Source organism: Homo sapiens, chromosome 3 (genome assembly GCF_000001405.40).
Source record: "Homo sapiens chromosome 3, GRCh38.p14 Primary Assembly".
Lineage (NCBI taxonomy): Eukaryota > Metazoa > Chordata > Mammalia > Primates > Hominidae > Homo > Homo sapiens.
The window spans coordinates 58,327,182-58,347,926 of NC_000003.12; the positions used below are offsets into that span (position 1 = coordinate 58,327,182).

At 45.7% G+C, this 20,745-nt stretch overlaps 1 protein-coding gene across 60 annotated transcripts in view, besides 2 other annotated features; it reads left to right on the forward strand.

The window, feature by feature from the left end:
• Positions 5,485-6,014: a silencer, noted in NCBI's record as "silent region_14488". NCBI's record gives its function as "represses an Ori minimal core promoter by ATAC-STARR-seq in GM12878 lymphoblastoid cells {active_cell/tissue: GM12878}" and the evidence as "EXISTENCE:reporter gene assay evidence [ECO:0000049][PMID:35858748]".
• Positions 5,711-20,745, forward strand: part of PXK (PX domain containing serine/threonine kinase like) — a 93,236-nt gene continuing 78,201 nt past the window's right edge. For 59 of the 60 annotated variants that reach the window (NR_146194.2, NR_146193.2, NM_001349528.2 and 56 more), the window contains exon 1: positions 5,711-5,909. Coding sequence is in view for 37 of the 60 variants with exons in the window: in NM_001349488.2 (NP_001336417.1) it covers positions 5,808-5,909 (102 nt within the window). In the remaining 23 variants the exon portion in view is untranslated. Of the gene's footprint in view, positions 5,910-6,124; positions 6,411-20,745 lie in introns of those variants that run through there. The other variant, NM_001349498.1, reaches the window with a different exon arrangement.
• Positions 6,261-6,555: a silencer, noted in NCBI's record as "tiled region #6112; K562 Repressive non-DNase unmatched - State 1:Tss". NCBI's record gives its function as "represses a minimal TATA promoter and a strong SV40 promoter by Sharpr-MPRA in K562 cells {active_cell/tissue: K562}" and the evidence as "EXISTENCE:reporter gene assay evidence [ECO:0000049][PMID:27701403]".

Here is a 20,745-nt window from a genome sequence, read left to right on the forward strand (position 1 = left end):
TCACCATATTGGCCGGCAGGATGGTCTCGAACTCCTGACCTTGTGATCTGCTTGCCTCGGCCTCCCAAAGTCCTGGGATTACAGACGTGAGCCACTGTGCCAGGCCTTTTTGTTTTGTTTTGTTTTTGAGATGGAGTTTCGCTCTTATTGCCCAGGCTGGAGGCAGTCGCATGATCTCGGCTCACTGCAACCTCTGCCTCCCGGGTTCAAGCAATTCTGCCTCAGCCTCTGCCACCATGCCTAGCTAATTGTGTAATTTTAGTAGAGACAGGGTTTTTGCATGTAGGTCAGGCTGGTCTCAAACTCCCGACCTCAGGTGATCCACTGCCTCAGCCTCCTAAAGTGCTGGGATTACAGACGTGAGCCACTGCTCCTGACCCCCTCATTACTTTTACCTGCATGTTATTCATGTTCCCTCCTTGAAGCAGCAGAGCCCAGGCCAGATGTGTGTGTCAGTGGTCACTGTGATCTCAGAGGGGCTCCTCTGAGGGAAGTATCTGTTCCCTTGCAAACATCCTTAACTGTCAGGAGCCTGTGTAACACAGCTGGGGATAGAAGGGTGCGGAAAGGCTCCTTTCCCCACCTTTCCAGTTGAGCCATCTCCTCCCCAGCCCTTCACACATCCTACTTTCCAGTCCTGCAGCCTACATGGCTTTGCAGTGCCCAGGGCTTCCATAAACCCCTGAACTAGCCTGTCACTGCATGTCCACGTTGTTTTCTTTTCTTTCTTTCTATTTTTTTTTTTTTTTTAGCAGGGGTGGGGAGTGATGGGTACAGGGTCTCACTCTGTTGCCCAGGCTGGAGTACAGTTGTACCATCATGGCTCACTGCAGCTTCAATCTTCCTAGGCTCAAGCTATCCTTCCACCTCAGCCTCTTGAATAGCTGGGACTACAGACATGCACTATCATGCCTGGCTAATTTTTTCTTTCTTTCTTTTTTTTTTTTTGAGCCAGAGTCTCGCTCTGTCGCTCAGGCTGGAGTGCAGTGGCACGATCTTGGCTCACTGCAACCTCCACCTCCCGGGTTCAAGCGATTCTCCTGCCTCAGCCTCCCGAGTAGCTGGGATTACAGGGGTGCATCACCACACCCGGCCAATTTTTGTACTTTTAGTGGAGATGGGGTTTTGCCATGTTGGCCAGGCTGGTCTTGAACTCCTGACCTTAAGTGATCCACCCATCTCAGCCTCCCAAAGTGCTGGCATTACAGGCATGAGCCACCGTGCCTGGCCTTTATTTTTTGTAGAGATGGGGTCTTGCTATGTTGCCCAGGCTGGTCTTGAACTCCTGGCCTCGAGCCGTCCACCTGCCTCAGCTTCCCAAAGTGCTGGGATTACAGGGGTGAGCCACTGAGCCCGGACTCATCGTTTTTCTCGTTCATGTAGGTAAGCAGCTTGATAGACGATGACATCTGTCCGGTTTGTTTTAACTCCCCTGTGCCTGACATAGTGTCTGGTATCTAGTATTCTGCAAGGAATTTGCTAAAAGATTGAGTGAAATGGGCCAGGTGCAGTGGCTCATGCCTGTAATCCCAGCACTTTGGGATGCCAAGATGGGCAAATCATGAGATCAGGAGTTCAAGACCAGCCTGAAACATGGTGAAACCTCGTCTCTACTAAAAATACAAAAATTAGCCAGGCATGGTGGCAGGTGCCTGTAATCCCAGCTACTCGGGAGACTGAGGCAGGAGAATTGCCTGAACCCGGGAGGTGGAGGTTGCAGTGAGCCGAGATTGTGCCACTGCACTCCAGCCTGAGCGACAGAGCAAGACTCCATTTTGGAAAAAAAAAAGATTGAGTGAAATGTTCTTTCTCCATATCCTGCTATCCAAATCTCACCCATCATTAAAGGCCCCTCTCAAACCCCAGTTCTTCCATGAACTGCCCCATAACCCAGTCTAGTGCCATGACTCTTTTCTTTCTTATCTTCTCATGGTACCCAGAGCCTCAATTTCAGGACTCAGTATAGGCTGTCTTGGAGTCACTGTTTCTGTGACGATCTTTCCTATCCTCCTTAAAAATTATTGGATGAAAAGGAGTCTGCTTCTTTTCCATTTTGTCCTCTACAGGACCTGCAATATTGAAAGTCTTCAAGTACCACTTACTGACTTTGAAAAAAAATCACTACTGTGATCATTTGTCAAAAACATACGCATGAAGATTGTCATCTGCCAATCACATAATCTTAAATGAAAAAAATCTAATTTGTAAAAGTATGCAAAATGCATTTTTCAGAGCATGTGAAATTTCTTGTAAGGTATGAACTATGGACAAGTTGGTTTCTCTTACAAAAGCATTTGGACTGTGTGGACAGATTACAGAGAAAATGGAGCTAAACCCCAGAGAAGCCTTCTTCCAGTTACTGTCATGACTTTATCTTATGGAAGCAGTTGTCAGAGCACTGGACTCCAGTTGTCTAACATTTTTCCCCCAATCATACAAGTTAAATACAGAAAAGCATACAGAAGAAATCATCATGATCCTGCTTCTTAGAGGCCCACCGTTCATATTTATTTATTTATTTTTGAGACGGAGTCTCGCTCTGTCACTGAGGCTGGAGTGCAGTGATACGATATCGGCTCACTGCAACCTCCACCTCTTGGGTTTAAATGATTCTCCTGCTTCAACTTCCCGAGTAGCTGGGATTACAGGTGTGTGCCACCATGTTCTGGCTAATTTTTCTCTAAAAGTAGAGACAGGTTTTCACCATGTTGTCCAGGCTGGTCTCAGACTTCTGACCTCAAGTGATGTGCCCGCCTCGGCCTCTCAAAGTGCTGGGATTACAGGTGTGAGCCTCTGTACTCAGCCCATATTTTGATATATTTTCTTCTGGTGTTTGTCCTGTAGATATGTTGGGATTATACGGATGCTAAATTGCTTTTTTCATTTACTATTATATCAAGAGCATTTCTCAAGATCATAAAATATTTTTTAATCATGTGACTTTTTATTTATTTATTTGTTTGTTTGTTTGTTGAGACAGGGTTTTGCTCTGTTGCCCAGGCTGGAATGCGGTGATGCAATCTTGGCTCACTGCAGCCTCCACCTTCCGGGTTCAAGTGATCCTCCCACCTCAGCCTCCTGAGTGCCTGGGACTATAGGCATGCACCACTTACCCTGGCCTGATTTTTAACATTGCAAAAAATTCATGATTGTACCAAGATTTGTCCAAAACCCAACTGTTAGTCATTTATCCTTGCATGCTATTTTTTTTTTTTTACTGATCTCTGATTATTTTCTTAGGATACCCTCCTAGACGCAGAATTACTTGGTCATAGGATAAGAACATTTTCAAAGCCCTTAATACATATTTGTTTTAGCTCCTAGTACTAGGTCTATTACATAGTAGGTACTTAGCAAATAATTGTTGAATGAATGTACGAATGCCCTCCAGAAAGGTGGCGCCAATTTATACTCCCACCTGCAGTAAGAGAAAAGAGCCTTGTCTTGGTCAGTCCACATCACAATAGGAGTAATGATTATAGCTGGATTTTGGTTTCTGTGACTCTGGCAGAGAAATAATCTATTTGCCTTAAAACAAAGAAATGAAAGTAAAAAGTTGAATCCTCCCTAAATGACATATGGTTTTGCTTTAATAGACTGCTGCTTTTAAACACACTGGCACAAAAGTGGAATGGAGGGAGAGTTCTGATTATTTTAGGGCTGAATCATGAAGGTCCAGGATTCCTTCTTCACATCTCGCTCTATTAGATCTTGGCCCCTGGGACCAATCTCATGGCTACTTGACTCAACGGGGCTGCCCACCAATCCCAATAAGCTTGAGATCTGGAGAAGGGACCCTTTATGTATGATGTGGGCCTTTCCTGTGATGTCAAATTTTGGTGGTGGTGGTGGGATTACCAAGGAACTTTGTTCCCTTATCTGAAGTGTAGAAATTTAGTGGAGGCAAATTTAAGAGTTAGGAACCTTCCATTCTGTCAACTGTAGGGGAAGGAGGAAACTAATATTGACTTTGTTTTGTTTTTTTTTTGTTTTTCCGGAGACGGTCTTGCTCTGTTACCCAGGCTGGAGTGAAGTGGCATGATCATGGCTCACTGCGGCTTCAACCTCCTGTGCTCAAAAAACTCTCCCACCTCAGCCTCCTGAGTAGTTGGGACCACAGGTGTGAGCCATCATGCCCAGGTATTTTTAAAATTTTTTTGTAGAGACGGGGTCTCACCATATTGCCCAGGCTAAACTCCTGGACTCAAGCCATCCACTCTCCTCAGCCTCCCAAAGTGCTGGAATTACAAAGGTGAGCCATCATGCCTGACCACGGTTTGAGGTGTTTTTGTTTGTCTGTTTTTTTGTTTGTTTTTTGAGACAGAGTCTCACTCTGTCACCCAGGCTGGAGTGTAGTGGTATGATCTTGGCTCACTGCAACCTCCCCCTCCCGGGTTCAAGCAATTCTCCTGCCTCAGCCTCCAGAGTAGCTGGGTCTACAGGCACGTGCCACCATGCCCAGCTAATTTTTATATTTTTAGTAGAGGGGGTTTTGCCATGTTGGCCAGGCTGGTCTCAAATTCCTGACCTCAGGTGATCCACCCACCTTGGCTTCCCAAAGTGCTGGGATTACAAGCGTGAGCGATCATGCCTGACCACCGTTTGAGTTTTTACTATGTGCCAAGCCCCTTCCCAGTCTACTGCATTCCTTGTATTAACCTTTTCATACAAATAATATTATCTCCACTTTGCAAATTGGGGAGTTGGGACTCAGAGAGGTTGGGTAACTTATTGAAGATCACACAGCTGGTAAATGCCAGAGCCATGGAGATGATGGTCCTCCAATTCTAAATTTAACTCTTCACTATCCTGGAATGCTGCCCTAGGAGAGGGCAGTGTGGGTGAAATTTCTAGGTGTATATGGAGATGGGGGGGATGAGGTGGTGCCAGGATTATGGCTTTGGGTTCAGGCAGACTGTGGGCAGATTTAGGGCTGAGAAGTTGATCCCAAGGTTCTCTGGCTTGGCTCTTGGTTTGAAGTTCTTCTAGTCCATATGGTGGGATCAAAAACTCCCAAGTCTAAGGGATGTGGTTGAGCCCGCAGTGGGGGCCAAGAGTAGAGGCTAGGGGTCTCTGGACCATTTTATAGGGTCTCCAGTTCTTAGAGCTTGGGTCTGAGGGTTCTGGGGCCCAAGACCTCCAATTATGGGGTCCAGCTCTTAGGTGTTCAGGCCTGAGGAGCCACGTTCAAGAGTCCCTGTGAAGTTTCAATAGGAAGGGCTTGTTTCAGAAAGTCTCTGGGTTTGCAGGGCTCAGACTGGGGGTCCCATCCTAAAGGCCCTTTTTCTGAGTTTTAGGGTCCTTGGGCCTGGGGGATGAGAGAGATCCAGTTCTGAGGGTTTCAAGAGGTACGGTCCCCGAAAAGCCCAGTTCTGAGAGGCCTGGTTTGGAAATCTCGCCCTGAAGATTCCTGGATCCCAGGGCTCAGGACCAGGCGTCTCTGGATCTGAGGATCCTGGTAGTGATGGCTTAGGGTGGTGTTCCCTGGTCCGAAGCCCGGAGCTAAGGGCACCGGGTCTGCGGTGCGGCTGCGAGGAGCAGGGAAGCGCAGGCCCATGGCAGCCGCGAGGCGGAGGAGCGGGCCAGCGGGCGGCAGTGCTGGCGGCCCCCACACGTTCTGCGCTGGGTCGGCGCTAGGACTCCGGGGCGGCGGCCGTGGGAAGGGCGGCGCTAGGACCCCGCGGGCCCGGCGGCGCGTGGGGCGGCGCGTGTTGACAGCGGCGGCGGTGGAACCGGGCGGGCGGCGGGAGTCGGCGCCTCGGGTTCCTACCTCGCGTCCCTAGGCGGCGGCGGCCGGGCGTCCCGGGATGGCCTTCATGGAGAAGCCGCCAGCCGGCAAGGTGCTGCTGGACGACACGGTGCCGCTGACAGCAGCCATCGAGGCGAGCCAGAGCCTGCAGTCCCACACGGTGCGCGGCCCAGCGGGCGGGCGGGCGGCGTGGGGCGGCCCCGGGCCGCGAGGGGGCTGCGGGCTGCCTGGCGCGGGCCGGGCAGGGTCGTCGGACGGAGACCGGGCCACAGGGTGGGCGGCCCTGGCCGAGAAGGCTGTGGCGCGCCGCTGGGTCTGGGTCAGGGCCCCTGGGGCCCAGGCGAACGCTGAGGCCCGGAGGGGCCAAGGATGGGGACCGCAGCTCCCGGCGCCGCGGGGTGGAAGGAGCTCGGCGGCGACCAGGAAAGCGACTCCGAGTTGGGGGGCGGGGGCGGGGGCTGCGGGATTCCCGGGCTCACCTTGGACTAGGGGAGCAGGAACGAGACCGCTCAGGACCATCCACTTCTGCCCGCCGCCAGCCTTTTCCTTTTTGAGGCCGTGTAATTTCCTCCTTGCAGCTGAGGGTCTGGGTGATGGGGATGAGGGTGTGCCGGGCCAAATGAAGTGTGACTCCAGAGCCTACTTGTTGGGACAGCAGAGTGTAAGTGGCTGGGGTCTGCAGCCCCGTTTCCAGGTCAGCCGCTTGGCCCTGGTCCCGGGAAGTGGTGGGGGCGGCAGTCGGGGCGCTGTTAAGCAGGTGTATGAATGTGCTTCTCTAACTTGCTCTTTAGTGGGCAGTGGTAGCATTCATTTGAGTTTAAAATCCACTCGAGTAGCATAAAGGAGTAATAGGTCCTCATAGTAAACATTGGCAGGGTTCATTTCTGCTACATATACGGTCTTTTATGGGGCTTTAAAACCGTGGTTGTTTTCATTTGCTTGTACCTTTTTTTTTTTTTGAAAGGCCCACTATGCATTATAATTTCCAAGCAATAAATCTAGGAACCAGCAAGAAACCTGGAGCTATCAGCTAGTGGGACTTTTTTGGAAAAGTAATGAGTGAGGAGAGAGATTCCTTCAATTGTGATGTTTTGTCAGTCCACCGAATCAGATTCAGACTCAGAGGCTTGTTTGTTTACCATTGCAGTGTGTTTGGGGGGTCATCATCTGGAGGCTAAAGCTCACAATAGCCTTCTGTTTCTCTTTTCGTTCAAGCTCTTCTGATGACTTCAAAGAGACCTTTTATTCTGTTGTATTAAAGTGAGACTTTTTTGAACCTCAGTTTCCTCTTCTGACAGCCGTGCTTTGTAGGGCTTGAATTGTTCAAAGCATTCACTTCCAGTTAAGAAAATTATTATCTTTTTAAAAAGGGCTATTTATTTCACGCTGTGTGTCTTTAATCCTATTCTGTAGACATGTGAGAAGGCACATACAGGACAGAATTTGTTAAACTTGCTATCATTTGTGCCTAAAGGGAGTATGGCATAAGGGTTGAAATTTAGGATAGGGAGTCAAGAGTAATTCAGCTATTAAATTTGATTTTTGACTTGACTATTGGCAAGTAAGTCTTATAACCTTTCAGGGAATAGTGTCGAGTCCTTTAGGTTTATTTTGTATTGAAAATAAAGAGATAGATGTTTCTAAATACTCACAAATTACTTTCCCTAGGAAGCATTCATGATTTCTACAGCCCCAGCCCATGTGCCTACCCACACCTTAATCTTGATTAGTTTGTCCTGTAATTACTTCTTTACTTTTTGTCTCCACCAGGCTACAAGAGGAGGGGCACTTCTTCCTCACTTTTGAGTCTCATTCCCTGGTTTTTGATAGGATTTCAAATGTGTTTATCAAATGACTAAATAATCCAACTTCAACCTTACTATGCCTCTTTTTCTGTTTATGTAAAATGGTAATTGTAAACATTGAAAAAATAACTTAGAGATCAGTGCTTTAGCTAGGTGGCGAAAGATGTAATAGGATTCTGTTTTTATTGTAAGGGTGTGTGTGTGTGTGTGTGTGTGTGTGTGTCTGTGTGTGTGTGTGTGTGTGTGTGTGTAGAGACAGCGTCTCACCATGTTGTCCAGGCTGGTGTGTGTGTGTGTGTGTGTGTGTGTGTGTGTGTGTGTGTGGAGACAGCGTCTCACCATGTTGTCCAGGCTGGTCTGGAACGCCTGGGCTCAGGCCGTTCTCCTGCCTCAGCCCCACAAAGTGCTGGTATACAGATGTGAGCCACCACACCTGGCCCTGCAGATCTTTTCTTTAAAAAATAAAATAATTTAGGGTAGAAAATGGCAGTTCTTGTAGGGATGACTGACCACAAAAGACAGTGACTCACAGGAGACCCATAGAGGCAGATGTGGTAGAGTAAAAAACTGTAGCATTGTCTTGCGTAATTTTTTGACTGTTCTGTGTTCTTGTCATTTTAGCTGTAAAGTTTGACTGAGAAATGTTGCATCAGCCCTGAAGTTTATTGAGAAAATCTTACGCTGATGCAAACTTTTTGGACTGTTAGTGTCTTATGAGTAAGTCTTTTTTAAAACAGGAACTGTTGGAAATTATTTTGGAAAGAAGTAGTTGTTAAGAGGGGTATGTAGAAGAGAAAGGCACTGTTTTTTCTTGGGGAGATTGAAGTTGGCTTTCCAGCTTGGTAGCTGAAGGGAGATGGTGTTCCAGAAGTCAGAGCTCTACTCTCGCTTTGAAATGCTGAATCTCTAGGAAGTTACTCCTTGGCTGTAGACAGAAACATACGGAGTTAGAGACAGACTTGGGGTTGGAAGAGGCAAGACCTTAATACAGGTCTGAGCTGATACTTGCTAGTCATGTGATATAGGCTGGGCAAGTCACTTAAACCTTTTTGAAGTTTAGTTTTGTCATCTGTAAATGGGAGTAATAAATGCCTGCCCTGCCTGCCTCCCAAGGTTGTTAGGAAGATCAAATGAAATCATCTTGATGAAGTATTTGTAAAATGTATTCCTTCCTCCCTCCATCTCTTCACTCCCTGACAACATTTGTGCAAAGCGTTAAACACATTAGAGGGCGTTATTGCAAGCAAGCTCATTTCTGTCCATAGTTCCTTTCATTTATCAAGTTTGTTTAACCTTGGGAAACATATATATATATATATATATATATATATATATATTTTTTTTTTTTTTTTTTAATACCAATGGGGTTCTTGCTGTGTTGCCCAGGCTGGTCTTGAACTCCTGACCTCAAGTGATCCTCCCACCTCAGCCTCCCAAAGTGCTGGGATTATAGGTGTGAACCACTGCACCCAGCTGGGAAACCACCTATAACAGAAATGATTTAGGATTTGTGAACTTGGTAGGGAAAAATTCTGTGGTTTGGAAAACTGAGTCACCAGAAGGATGAAGGGAACACAAGGTCACCACCAGAAAGGCATATTTGGATGAGCAACTGGCAGAAAGGACATGTGTTGGTAGGTGATTCTGTGCTTTGCTGATGCTGATGCATCATTTTTATGGAGCAAAATGAATTTAGCATTAAGAGCTAGACCAGCCCTCTGCTGCAAGGAAATGAAGCTTCTATAAAATCAGAAAGGCTAGTATTTAGGGGGAGGATGCTTTCAGGTTAGGTTTGGAGGAAGAAGGAAGATTTTCCAGACAAAAGGAATTCTGGTGAAAAGCCACACAGGTGAGTTGTGAGAAAATTTAGGAGGACCAAGAGAGGACAAGGGAAAGGTAAGTTCTTGGCTATATAAAAGGGAAAACTTTTTAAAGTTAGTAGACTAAAAAAATGCTTACATAGCTGAAATAGAAACCAGAGGAAACAAAGTTTTGGAAAGCGCTGTTATCAAATGTGCACATCCAATTTTTGCTGGTGGGTAGGCTGTGTGTGATAGCTTTTCATCTCAGTTTTCTCCTTTTTTTGGGGGGTGGGGGACAGAGTCTCGCTCTGTCACCAGACTAGAGTGCAGGTCGCAATCTCAGCTCACTGCAACCTCCACCTCCCAGGTTCAAGCGATTCTTCTGCCTCAGCCTCCCAAGTAGCTGGGATTACAGGTATGCACCACCATGCCTGGCTAATTTTTGTATTTTTAGTAGAGATGGGGTTTCACCACGTTGACTAGGCTGGTCTTGAACACCTGACCTCAGGTGATCCACCTGCCTCGGGCTCCTAAGGCGCAGGGATTACAGGTTTGAGCCACCATGCCTGGCAGTTTTCTCCTTTTTAAATATTCTTCTGTGGAGTTCATCTGGATCAGGGACTGTTTATCTTCCATTTGGACATTTTGTTTTTGAGAAACAGATAATTATAGTGATAGTTAAGGCACAATAGAAAACATTTTTTAAAATCAGTGGAAAAGATAATATTACATGTTAAAATCTTTACTGAAAATGGATCTCTCCTTGAACTTTTGATATTTGGAAACTGCATTCCTGCATGGCTTATTTATTCAGCTATACTCATTCATTCAACAAAAATGTATTAAATGCCTACTATGTGCCAGGCACATGCTAGAGATAGAATGGTGAACCAGACAGCTCCTGCATCCATGGAGCTTTTGTTCTGTTGGATTCCAAGGTCTTTTTTTTTTCATTGTGAGACAGGTTCTTGCTCTGTCACCCAGGCTAGAGTACAGGACCACAGCTCACGGCAACCTCAGTCTCCTGGCTCAAGGAATACTCCTGCCTCAGCCTCCTGAGTAGCTGGGACTATAGGCATGCACCACCATACCTGGCTAATTCTTTGATTTTTAGTAGAGATGGTGTCTTGCTATGTTGTCCAGGTTGGTCTCAAACTCCTGAGTTCAAGTGATCCTCCTGCCTCGGCCTCCCAAAATGCTGGGATTATAGGTGTGAGCCACTGTACCTGGCCTCAACTAGGATCTTTACCATTCATAAAACAGATGGTTTTAGTGGCTTGGTTTATTGATCTTCAGCTTCTCATCAGTGACCCGACCCTTTTTATAGACTTTTAAACTTTATTTATTTATCACCAGAATAACTATTCAAATGTAATGGCAAATTAGGAGACATTGCTGCTTTCAGATCCTGAAATTTTAGGGTAATCTAGTACTCAGTATCAGAATTTGAACTTCCTTTTAGAATGCTACTTGGAAGTTTCTTTAGAATTCTAAGTTATACTGAATACTTTAAAAATTTCTTAGCCAGGCGTGGTGGCTCGCACTTGTAATCCCAGCACTTTGGGAGGCCGAGGCAGGCAGATCATCTGAGGTCAGGAGTTCGAGACCAGCCTGACCAGCATGGTAAAACTCAGTCTCTACTAAAAATACAAAATTAGCTGGGCGTGGTGGCACATGGCTGTCGTCCAGCTACTTGGGAGGCTGAGGCAGGAGAATCCCTTTAACCCGGGAGGTGGAGGCTGCAGTGAGCCGACATCACGCCATTGCACTCTCCGTCTCAAAAAAAAAAAAAAAGTTTCTTTAGGCCAGGCGCGGTGGCTCATGCCCATAATCCTAGCACTTTGGGAGGCTGAGGCGGGTGGATCACCTGAGGTCAGAAGTTCGAGAACAGCCTGGCCAACGTGGTGAAACCCTGTCTCTACTAAAAATACAAAAATTAGCTGGGCATGGTGGGGTGTGCCTGTAATCCCAGCTACTTGGGAGGCTGAGGCAGGAGAATTGCTTGAACCTGTGAGGTGACGGTTGCAGTGAGCCAAGATTGTGCCATTGCACTCCAGCCTGGGCGACAGAGCAAGACTCCGTCTTAAAAAAAAAAATTCTTTTAAAGATGTTTGCATACTGTGTGATAGGTAACTTGCAGCACTTCCTTTTTCTTTTTTTTTTTTTTAGCTGGAGTCTTGCTCTGTCCCCCAGGTGGGAGTGCAGTGGCGCGATCTCGGCTCACCGCAACCTCTGCCTCCCGGGTTCAAGCAATTCTGCTTCAGCCTCCCGAGTAGATGGGATTACAGACGCCCACCACCACACCCGGCTAATTTTTGTATTTTTAGTAGAGACAGGGTTTCACCATGTTGGCCAGGCTGGTCTTGAACTCCTGACCTCAGGTGATCTATCTGCCTCAGCCTCCCAAAGTGTTGGGATTACAGGCGTGAGCCACTGCACTCAGCCATCTTGCAGCACTTCCACACATTATAATAAAATATAAGAGCAGTTATTTTCTGGGCATCTATTCTATGTGGTTATGTATTTTTCCCCACTTGTCCTGGAAATCTGAGATGGACGCAGTCGGAAAACCCTGAGTTGAAAGCTTTTAGGTACTGGTAATTAGTTCATTTAGAGATTGTAAGTTGTCTCTTCCTATTGAAGACGTTGGTTTTTTTGTTGTTGTTGGGTTTTGTGGGGGGTTTTTTTTTGTTTTTTTTTGTTTTTTTTTTTAGACGTAGTCTTACTCTGTTGCCCAGGCTGGAGTATAGTAGTGCGATCTCAGCTCACTGCAATCTCCGCCTCCCAGGTTCAAGTGCTTCTCTTGCCTTGCCTCTCGAGTAGCTGGTATTACAGGCGCCACGTACCATGCTCGGCTAATTTTTGTATTTTTAGTAGAGACGGGGTTTTACCACGTTGGCCAGGCTGGTCTTGAACTCCTGACCTCAAGTGATCTGCCTGCCTCGGCCTTCCAAAGGGCTGGGATAACAGGCATGAGCTACCGTGCCCAGCCAGAAGTTGGTTTTTTTTGCAGCCTAATTTATGGGCTGGTGATACTCAATCCCTGTATATCATCTGTTTTGAGGACTATCCCATGAGAAAGATTTCTCGTAATAAGAATATAAATCCGAGTACCTGACTATAATTACTAGGAAGAAATCTAAGATTCTGGGGCTGAGGTTTATTTCATGTGAAAAGATAGTTACATGTTTTGCTTCCCTAGGGAACAGTGGAAAGAGCCACCCATGGGTACTTAGCTTCCATATGGATTGTGATCTTGAGATTGTTCAATATATAGATTTTTTTTTCTTTTTTGAGATGGAGTTTCACCGTTGTTGCCCAGGCTGGAGTGCAATGGCGCGATCTCGGCTCACTGCAACCTCCACCTCCTGGATTCAAGCGATTCTCCTGCGTCAGCCTCCCGAGTAGCTGGGATTACAGGCGACTGCCACCATGCCTGGCTAATTTTTTTTGTATTTTTAGTAGAGACGGGGTTTCACCATGTTGGCCCGGCTGGTCTTGAACTCCTGACCTCAGGTGATCCACCCGCCTTGGCCTCCCAAAGTACTGGGATTACAGGCCCCAGCCACTGCGCCTGGCCGATTTTTTTTTTTTTTTTTTTAAGACAGGGTCTCACTCCGTCAGCCAGGCTGGAGGGCAGTGTGGAGTAATCTTGGCTTACTGTAGCCTTGACCTCTCCAGCTCAAACAATCCTTCTGCCTCAGCCTCCTGAGTAGCTGGAACTACAGACACGCATCACAATACCTGGCTAATTTTTAAATTTTCTGTCGAGACAGGGCCTCCCCATGTTGCCCAGGCTGGTCCCAAACTCTTGGCCTCAAGTGATCCTCCCACCTTGGCCTCCCAAAGTGCTGGGATTACAAGTGTGAGCCACCGCACCAAGCCTAGATTGTTGATCGAAAGTTTAAGGCTGGTGTGGTGGCTCACACCTGTAATCCCAGCACTTTGGGAGGCTGAGGTGGATGGATCACCTGAGGTCAGGAGTTTGTGACCAGCCTGACCAACATGGAGAAACCCCATTTCTACTAAAAATACAAAATTAGCCAGGCGTGGTGGCGCATGCCTGTAATCCCAGCTACTCGGGAGCCTGAGGCAGGAGAATCCTTGAACCCAGGAAGTGGAGATTGTAGTGAGCCAAGATGGCACCATTGCACTCCAGCCTTGGTAACAAGAGGGAAACTCTGTCTCAAAAAAAAAAAAAGTTTAAATGGGTTTACTTATTTGGAGCAAGTAAAGTAAACCCTCTGTTCCTCACTGCAGGGCAGGTAGTGGTTTCTTTTTAGGCTGCTAGAGATTTTGGGGTAGCGTCATAGGAAATGAATCTCCTTTATGTTCCAGCTTTTAGCACCCTGAGAAAGGGGGAAATGGATCCCATTTTAGAAGTCATAAGAGCTTAAGTGTTTGGGATACCAGAGGGGGAGTAATAGAGTTTTTCCTTTTTTTTTTTTTTCCTTAAACTAGAAGTCATTCTTATCAGTGCCTTCCTTTGCAAGCACCAAGTATGTACAGGGGGAAGTTAAAGTTGACTCCTCTTCAGAAGAGATGACAGTGGCCCTTCATTTGTGGTTTGAAACTTTTGACTTAGGAGTATGGAACAAGTGCTTTATCTTTGGTAAATACTTGGACCTCAGGAGGAGGAGAGTTTCTTCAGATTGACCATTTAGTCTTCAGCTCACCTTGCTGACAACCACATTTAGGGTAAGTAACCATTTTTAGCTGAAGTTAAAATATCAAGTGTTTTGAGCCAGGCATGGTGGCTCATGCCTGAAATGCCAGCACTTTGGGAGGCTGAGGCAGGCAGATCACTTGAGGTCAGGAGGTTGAGACTAGCCTGGCCAACATGGGGAAACCCTGTCGCTACTAAAAGTACAAAAATTAGCTGAGAGTGGTAGTGCACGCCTGTAATACTAGCTACTTGGGAGGCTGAGGCAGCAGAATTGCTTGAACCCAGGGGACGGTGGTTGCAGTGAGCCAAGATCATGCCACTGCACTGCATCCTGGATGACAGAGTGAGACTCTATCTCAAAAACAAAACAAAACAAAACTTTATATAATTCACATACCATATGAGTCACTCATTTAAAGCATACAATCCAATGGCTTTTGGTATATTTACAGAGTTGTGTATTCATCACCATAATCAATCTTAGAACATTTTCTTTTCTTTTCTTTTCTTTTTTTTTTGGTGAGGAGTCTTGCTTTGTTGCCCAGGCTGGAGTGCAGCAGTGTGATCTTGGCTCACTGCAACCTCCGCCTCCTGGGTTCCAGTGATTCTTCTGCCTCAGCCTCCTGCGTAGCTGGGACTACAGGCACCCGCTACCACGCCTGGCTAATTTTTGTATTTTTAGTAGAGATGGGGTTTCACCATGTTGGCCAGGCTGGTCTCAAACTCCTGACCTCAGGTGATCTGGCTGCCTCAGCCTCCCAAAGTGCTGGGATTACAAGCGTGAGCCAACGCGCCTGGCCAGAAACTTTTCAGTACCCCAAAAAGAAGCCTTAGTCATCACCCTGTTTTATAACTCAGAATGTTTTTTTTTTAAACCTACAAGGCTACTAAACTAATTTAATATAAACACCTGATTACCAAACTCCAAGAAACAACTAAGTTCTATTGTTATCGGAATTGTTTCAGAAAGTATTCTAAGCACAAGTTCTTTAGCTCTTCGGGCCCAACTCCTTTAAGGATCTCATCACAGGGACTGCTTCCCTGTTCATAAATACCCATAAACATGTCTTTGTGAACTCTCAGAACCTCACTGACCTGAAGCCCATTCTTAGGCTTTGGATCTTAGGGTAAGAATCACTGCCGGAAAAACTTTTTTAGGCCAGGCACGGTGGCTCTTGCCTGTAATCATAGCACTTTGAGAGGCTGAGGTAGGTGGATGGCTTGAGTTCAAGACCAGCCTAGGCAACATGGTGAAACCCTGTCTCTACTAAAAATACAAAGATTAGCCAGGTAAGGTAGTGCATGCCTGTAGTCCCTGCTCCTCAGGAAGCTGAGGCACGAGAATCGCTTGAACCTGGGAGGCAGAGGTTGCAGTGAGCTGAGATCATGCCAGTGCACTCCAGCCTGGGCCACAGAGTGAGACTCTGTCTCAAAAAAAAAAAAAAAAAGAAAAGAAAAAAAGAAAGAAAAACTTTTTAAAACTGTAAACTTGGAGTATTACTTATTTTAGTTGGTGAAATATGTGCATCTGAAAAATGTACTATAATACCATCTATATCCTACTTTAAGAAAATCCTGTATTTAGAACAATAGATGAACTATGTCCTCTTAGTTTGAAAACAAATTGCTTTGGGTTGCAGCTTGCCTGGCGCGTTTAAGTGTGTGCACAGATGACTTATTAGACAGTGGCATGGGGAAGGGCAAAGGGCTCTGTGCCGGAGAGCAGGGTTCTAGGCACGGCTCTGCCTGCTGTCGCAGCACCTCTTTATAATATTTAAACAAGGCTGCTCACATTTCTTTGATGTGCTCATCAGAAATAGGTCATTTCTCCTCATTAATTCAGTTGAGGCTTTTTTGCTGGACTGGAGGGAAGTGAATGGAGTGTTGGTATGGGAGAATCCTGGATCTCAAAATGTCTAAGAGCCACCTGTAGTGGTGAAAAGGGAAAGCAGTGTCGTTCATTCATTGCCTTCCTTTTGAGCCTGCCCTTCCACCAGGTAACAAGTGATTCCTGGGCAGGGACTCATTGCACTTTAGTCCTGCATACGTTCCTCTTGCCAGAAGTAGAGGGAAATGAAGCCAGAAAGAAATGGGTCTGCTCACACCAGACCTCTAGCATCAGGCAGCATCAAGCACCCTGCTGGTCCGTGAGAGCACAGGGAATGGCTGAGTGTCACACTGCCATGCTGTAGGCATCTATGCATGTGACCATGTAGCCCACCATATTCACCAGCAGCCTGGCACTGGTTTATTCCACATTCCACAGGCACTTCTCAAGCTCCCACTCTTTGGTGAGTGTTGTGGTCTCCAGGAATGCAGTGGTGAGCAGTCGCTGCTCTAGGGGCTCATGCTGTTGAGGGTGGACAGGAGGGTCTGTGCATAGAAGACACACCTCTGCTTCTTCCCACTCTGTAGATGGTAAGGGGCGCAGGCAGCTTGTTCTGCCTCTTTGAGGCTTGTTTTATTTTTTTCTCTAAATCCAGACTTTATTGTCTATGTATTGCTGGGTTGATTCAATTTCAAACTAGCCCAGTCCCTGGCACATAGATAGTAAGCCTACAGCAAACATTTGCTGAATAAGTGAATTTGAGAATGAATGCCATTATTGGAGGTAAAGCTCTTATGTACTGCTGCTGACCATTGTACCTGCCAAGCGGGTTACGGGGTACTTCTGCCTCTTGTCTGCCAAGCTGGATATAATTTTCCTTCCTCTGAAATTCCCATAGAGTATATCTGCCTCAAAGGTACACTCATTTTATACACCTATTATTTCTTACTACCTTGTTTTCTGTTTATAACCCCCCTCCCCCAGTCACACACAGGTAAAACTGTATATAATTGGGAAGAGCGACAATGGCTTAATGACCTTGGACAAATTGCCGCTTGATTTCTCCAGCCTCAGTTTCTTCATCTGTAAAGTGAGGATAGAAAGAGTATGTTAGGACTGCTGTAAGGATTAACCGAGCTCATCCACATGGAGTATTCAGAACAAAGCCCAGCACATAAATGTCATTTGTTTTGTTGTTTATTACTGTTGTATTTGCCAGAGCACTGGCGTACTACTTAGTGCTTTTTTGGCATTCAAATATATGTTTTGAATGGGAAAAGGAAAATTATTTATTTAAAAGTTTGTCTCACTGTCAACTGTGATTACTTTGCTAATATGTGGCAAAAAACATCAGTGACACCTCCAAGAGTAGGTTTCCCCCTGTTTTTTCCTTTTTACCCTGGAGTAACACGTTTTGACAGCCATGCTTGGGAGATGCAGCTCAGGGCCTCCTTACCAGGCTGCAGAGCTGGCTATTGGTGTTCAGTGGTGACGGAAAAGACAAGTGGTCGGCTGGGCACAGTGGCTTATGCCTGTAATCCCAGCACTTTGGGAAGCCAAGATGGGCAGATCACCTGAGGCCAGGAGTTCGAGACCAGCCTGGCCAACATGGTGAAACCCCATCTCTACTAAAAAATACACAAATAATTAGCCAGTTATGGTGGTGGGCACCTGTAATCCCAGCTACTCAGGAGGCTGAGGCAGGAGAATCGCTTGAACCTTGGAGGCGGAGGCTGCAGTGAGTCGAGATTGCACCATTGCACTCCAGCCTGGGCAACAAGAGTGAAACTCCATCTCAAAACAAAACAAAACAAAACAAAAAACAAGTGGGCAGGCCATAGGGCTCAGCCATGAGCTCCCGGAGGCCAGACCTGAAGGGAGGCAGCCCCCAGCAAATGCCCATTTCAGCTCTTCCCCTCTCAGTTTTTGTTAATCCCTAAAGGGGTTCCAACATCAGTACATAGACATTTGATCTCAGGAACATTAACAGATACTTAAAAAGAGTCTTCTGCGTGCCAGGCACTGTACTGCCTATTAAGATAAAAAGATGAATGAAGCAGGGAGCTGACATCCTAGTCAATATAGCAGCCACAAAAGCAAAGATGAAGCAAAGTACTAAAGGGCCCCTCTGCCTGGGAGAGCAGGGCACAGGGGAGAGGCTGGTCAGGTCCTCCCTGGGGCTTAGGGAACTCGGAGTGGTTAACAGAGGAGCCAGCATTTTAGAGAAAACGTTCTAAATCAGTATGCCTCAGCCTTTTCTAACTTGCAAACTCCTTTCATAGTAATAGGGAATGGTACAGACTCTCTGGAAGTTATTTTAAATATAAAAATATTTTATTTAGATCAGTATATTACTAAAAATTGTTTGGGATCTGAACTATATATATTTTTAAATTGTGTTCAGAGGAATACAACTTAAGGCCCTGAGAAACAGCATCTTCAGACAACTTGTAGAATTACCGTTTTTATGATAATTCTCACTTGTATTTCTCACTAACTTCTCACTAACATGTGTTTTGTCATTGGCATTGCTTGAGCCTACATTTAGTCAGCGGTTTATTATGGATGTAAATGAAATCATATATGACTAAGAGCAAAGTCAATTAAAATACTGTGTAATGGTAAAAACTGTGATAAACCAACTGAGTTATGAGCATACTCATGACTTCCACAACTCATCCCATGCTTCCTGTGTGCCCATTTGGAAGCTCCTACTCTATTCTAGGTTAAAGGGAAAAAATATTTATGTTATTGTTTTATCGATATTTAAGTTATTATTTTTGAAAAGTAGAAACAGAAGCCTTATAGCCTTTAACGTATATATCCTGAAACACCTTCTGGGGCACCTCGTTGTTCATCCTCTTCCAGACTCTTAGTAACCCACCATAAGGATCTCAGTTTAAAAATCTGAAGAATGATTCTTCTCTGAGGTCAAGGTTGCATTTGTAGACTTCAGGAGTTCATTAGTTCATTCAGCAGATACTGCTGTGAGTATGCCCTGTGTTCCTGGCATGGCCTAGGCACTTGGGGTACAGGTCTAAGCAAGACAGACTTGGTTCCTGCCTTCTTTGTTCATTCATTCCAACTGGGTTTATTGGTGAAGATTCTGGGGTGGGGTAAAAGATGGAAAAGAAAGGTTAGAGCCAATTGTGGGGCCTCTTGGATGCCAGGCTAAGGAATCTGAACAACAGTGAGGGGGGGTTTGGGTGGAGGTGTGGCTCATAAAAGTGGCATTTTAGGAAGCTTAATTTGCTGTCTGTGTGCAAGGTGCAGTGGAAAGGGTGAAGGAAGGAGAGAAGAGAGTCAAGGATGCTAATGGAACAGTGAAGTTAGAGAGGCCACAGCTCAGGTCTATGGCAGGGAGAGGGGAGGAACACAATAGAGGAAAAGTCTGCCAAGTAGAGGCCACAAGGGAAACAGAGGCATCAGGAAATTATTAGAGAAGTAGTACAAGGTAGATGAAGGGTAGCTGGTTTTCCCAGGAAGATGATGAGTCTGTTTGGTTTTAGACACCTTGAGTAATACTGAAAAGGGAGTGTTACTTGTCATAATAGATGACATTGTTTAAGCTTTCACTATGTGCCAAGCCAAGTGCTTTATAGTAATTCTATAATTATTTTTCTTTTTTCTTTTCTTTTTTTTTTTGAAACAGAGTCTCACTCTGTCACCAAGCTGGAGTGCAGTAGCGTGATCTTGGCTCACTGTAGCCTCAACCTTCTGGGCTTAAGCGGTCCTCCCACTTCAGCCTCCTGAGTAACTAGGACCACAGCCTCATGCCACCACATGTGGCTAATTGTGTCCTTTTTTTGGGAGGGTGGGGTGGGGGGCACGGAGTCTGGCTCCGTCACCCAGGCTGGAGTGCAGTGGTGCGATCTCGGCTCACTGCAACCTCCGCCTCCCAGGTTCAAGCCATTCTCCTTCCTCAGTCTCCTGAGTAGCTGGGACTACAGGCGCGTGCCACCATGCCCGGCTAATTTTTTTGTATTTTTAGTAGAGATGGGGTTTCACCATGTTGGCCAGGGTGATCTCAAACTGCTGACCTCAAGTGATCCACCTGCCTCGGCTTCCCAAAGTGCTGGGATTACAGTTGTGAGCTACCGTGCCCGGCCATGTTCATTTTTTATAAAGACGAGGTCTCACTATGTTGTCCCGGCTGGTCTCGAATTCCTGGGCTCAAGGGATTAGATAATTCTTTCTCTCTCTGTTTCTCTCTTTCTGGTCAACTTTGTTGAAGTAAAATTTACATACAATGAAATTCACCTATTTTAAGTATACAATTTGATAAATCTTGACAAATATATATATACACACCCACTTTCATCGCTCCAGTTGTTTCCTTGGTGCCCCTTTGCAGACCCTGCCCTCCTTCTGGTCCCTGGGAACTACTGATCTGCTTTCTGTTACTATTGTTTAATCCTTTCTATTAATAGAATGTCATCTATAAGTGGAATCTTATACAATATAGTCTTTTTTTGGTCTGGCTTCTTTTACTTAACGTAAAGCTTTGAAATTCTTCTATGATGTTATATGTTTCTTTTTATTACTGAGTAGTATTCCATTGTATGGATTTAACATTTGTTATCCATTCACCAGTTGGTAGATATTTGGGTTATTTCCAGTTTGGGGCTATTATAAATACAGCTGCCATGAATATTTGGGTAAAGTCTTTGTGTAGATATATTTTTTCATTTCTCCTGAGTGAATGCCTAGGAATGGAATTGCTGAGTGATAGGCTAAACTTTATAAGAAATTGCCAAACTTTTCTAGATTTTTGTTTTACCTTCATGATAGTTTGAATTGCATTAGTTATTATCCCAGTTTTGTAGTTGAAGAAAATGAGGTGCAAAAAGAGTAAGATTGAAGGTTTCTATGAGGCTAATGAACTTTGTTTTGTT